A 3424-nucleotide genomic window follows, 5' to 3' on the forward strand; every position below is an offset into this window, starting at 1 on the left:
GCTGCATCTCATAAGTGTGGGTGTGTATGTACATCTCAAGGAACTAGAAAAGAAAGAACAAACTAAACCCAAAATTAACAGAGGAAAGGAAATAATAAAGATTAAAATGGAAATGAGTGAAATAGAGATTAGAAAAATAGAATCAACAAAACCAAAAGTTGTTTTTTTGAAGATTAACAAAATTGGCAAATTTTAGCTAGACTAAAAGCAAAAAACAGAAGACTCAAGTTACTAAATCAGAAATTAAAGTAGTACATTACTACCAATTTTACAGAAATAAAAAAGATTATGGGAGCATACTGTGAACAATTGTTTGCCATCAAGTTGAATAACCCAAATGCAATGGACAAATTCCTAGAAAGACACAAGTTACTAAAATTGACTCAAGAAGAAATAAAAAACCTGAATAGACCTATATAAAGTATAAACAAAAGTAAAATTCTAAGCCCCCTAACTGACTGAATGGACCCCTTCTCTCAGCCAAGGGGATTCCAAAGAAACCTGAAAAACTAGTTCAGGCCATGATGGGAAGTGGAGATCAGACATGCCTTGTCATACTCTCCTCCCTTTGGAGTTCAGGCAAAACTGACAGCATCAACATTAAAATGGAGACATCAAGACTGACACAAGACTCTTTGTAGCAACAAGACACCAAATTCCAACCTGACTCTAGTATAGCGTCATATGACAGATAGCAGGCTCTAAAAGAAATAAAAATATTTTACCCCAAAATATATTTCTTTGACATATTTTGAAATATCCCTGCACAGCAGTCTCTTGTGGTGGAAATTTACATTCTGTAGATAATTCCGTTCCCTTTCCAGGTCTTTTTCTGATCCTGAAGAGATTAGTTGAGAGTTTAGCACCTTTTAAGGTCTGAATAAGAAACATTTGCCATCTATTGCCTCTAATGGCAGCCACCTATGAGACTTCATCTACGCAATGAGAACCGTAGTTTCCATAACCCTTTTTCTTAACCCAGACATTCCTTTCTATTGATTCCAGTTCTTTATATAAGAACTTAACTCTTTTTTTTTTTTTTTACTTTTAAGGTCAAGGGTACATGTGCAAGTTTGTTACATAGGTAAACTTGTATCATGGGTATTTGTTGCACATATTATTTCATCATCCAGACATTAAGCCTAGTACCCATTAGTTATTTTTCCTGATCCTCTTCCTCCTCCCACCCTACACCCTCTGATGGGTCCCAGTGTGTGTTGTTTCCCCTGTGTGTCCATGTGTTCTCACCATTTAGCTCACACTTATAAGTGAGAACATGTGATATTTGGTTTTCTGTTTCTGCATTAGTTTGCTAAGGATAAGATCTTCCAGCTCCATTCATGTCCCTGCAAAATACCTGATCTCATTCTTTTTTATGGCTACATAGTATTCCATCGTGTATATGTATCACATTTTCTTTATCCAATTAACTTAAATTTTTCAACCGATTGCCAATCAAAAAATCTTTGAATCCACCTATGACCTGTAAGTCCCCACTTCGAGTTGTCCTGACTTTCTGGACCAAACCAATGTATACCTTATATGTATTTATTGATGTCTTATGTCTCCCTAAAATGTATAAAACCAAGCTATAACCCAACCATCTTGGGCACATGTTTCCAGGACCTCCTGAGGCTGTGTAACAGGTCATAGTCCTCACGTCTGGCTCAGAATAAACCTTTTCAAATGTCTTCCAGAAGTTGCCTTTTTTGTCAACAGAAGTAAAGAGTAGCCAAAAATCTCCCAAAAAAGAAAAGTCCTTGAACAGATGGCTTCACTGGTGAATTCTACAAGACATTTGAAGATAAATGAACACTTAGCCTTTTCTAATTTTTCCCAAAAAATTGAAGAGGAAGGGATACTTTCTAACTCATTATTTGAAGCCAACATTACTTTGATACCAAAGCCAGACTAAGAAATCACACAGAAAAAAGAGACAGAGACAGACAGAGAGAAAGAGAGAGAGAAAGAATGAAAGCTGCAGACCAATATTCCTTATGAAAATAAATAAGAAAATCCTCACAAAATACTAGCAACCCAATTTCAGAAGCAGATTAAGGGGATTATATATCATGATCAAGTGTCAATTATCCCAGGAATGCAAAATTAACCTGACATATGAAAATCAATAAATGGAACACATCATGTGTATTAGTTTCCTAGGGCTGTCATAACAAATCTTCACAAGTTGAATGGCTTAAAACAACATAAATTTATTCCATCCAATGCTGAAGGCCGTAAATTTAAAATCAAGGTGTGAGTAGGGTTGGTTCCTTTTGGAAGCTTTGTGGGAGAATCTGTTCCATACCTCTCTCCTAGTTTCTGGTGCCTTCCAGGAATCCTTGGCTTGTAGTTGCATCACTCCAGTCTCTGCCTCCATCTTTGCAAAGGTCTTCGTCTCTATTTTTTTCGTGTCTCTCCTTTTCTTTCTCCTACAGGAACACTTGTCATGGGATTTAGTGCCCATTCTAACCCAGGATAATTTCTTCTTGGGATTCTTACTTGAATACATCTGCAAAAAGTCTTATTCCAAATAAGGGTCTTGTATTTCTAGGTTCTTGGTAGTTATATGTTTTTATGGGGACTGCTATTCAACCCACTGGACCACATTAATAGAATTAAGTGGGGAATACCCAGATAATCATCTCAACTGATAGAGAAAAAGCATTTGACAAAAATCCGATGTCCTTTCCCTATCAATACTCAACAAAGTAGGAATAGAAGGGAACTTCCCAAACATGATAAAGATCATTCATTTAAAAAAATCATAGTTATCGTACTCAATGATGAAAGGCTGAAAGCTTTCCCTTTAAGATCAGGAACAAGATAAGGATGCCCTCTTTTATGACTTCTATTCAACATCTTAATAGAAGTTCTAGCCAGAGCAACTAACCAGGAAAAAGAAATAAAGGTATCCATAATGAAAAGATAGAAGTAAAATCCTTATTCACAGATGACATGATCTTATATACAAAAAATCCTGAAGACGCCGCAAAAAGACTAGTAGAGCTAATAAGAGAATTCAGAAAAGTTGCAGGATATAAGACCAACAAGCAAAAATCAGCTTTATTTTAATACGTTAGCAATGAACAATCCAAAAATTAAATTTAAAAAAGTTTTATTTACCATAGCATCAAAAAGAATAAAATATTAGGAATAATTGACCAAGGAAGTGAAAAACTTGCATGTTGAAAACTATAAAACATCACAGAAAGAAATTAAAGAAGACCAAATAAATAGAAAGATACCCATGGTCATGAACTGAAGAGTTGATATTATGCAGATTGCAAAAGGACTCAAAGTGATCTGCAGATTCTAAGCAATCCCTATCAAAATTCCAAATTTTTGCAGAAATAGAATTCATATGGAGGTTCAAGCAACTCTGAATAACCAAAAACATAGTGAAAAAGAATAAGTAGGAAGA

The sequence above is a fragment of the Homo sapiens genome, chromosome 5 (genome assembly GCF_000001405.40).
Source record: "Homo sapiens chromosome 5, GRCh38.p14 Primary Assembly".
NCBI lineage: Eukaryota > Metazoa > Chordata > Mammalia > Primates > Hominidae > Homo > Homo sapiens.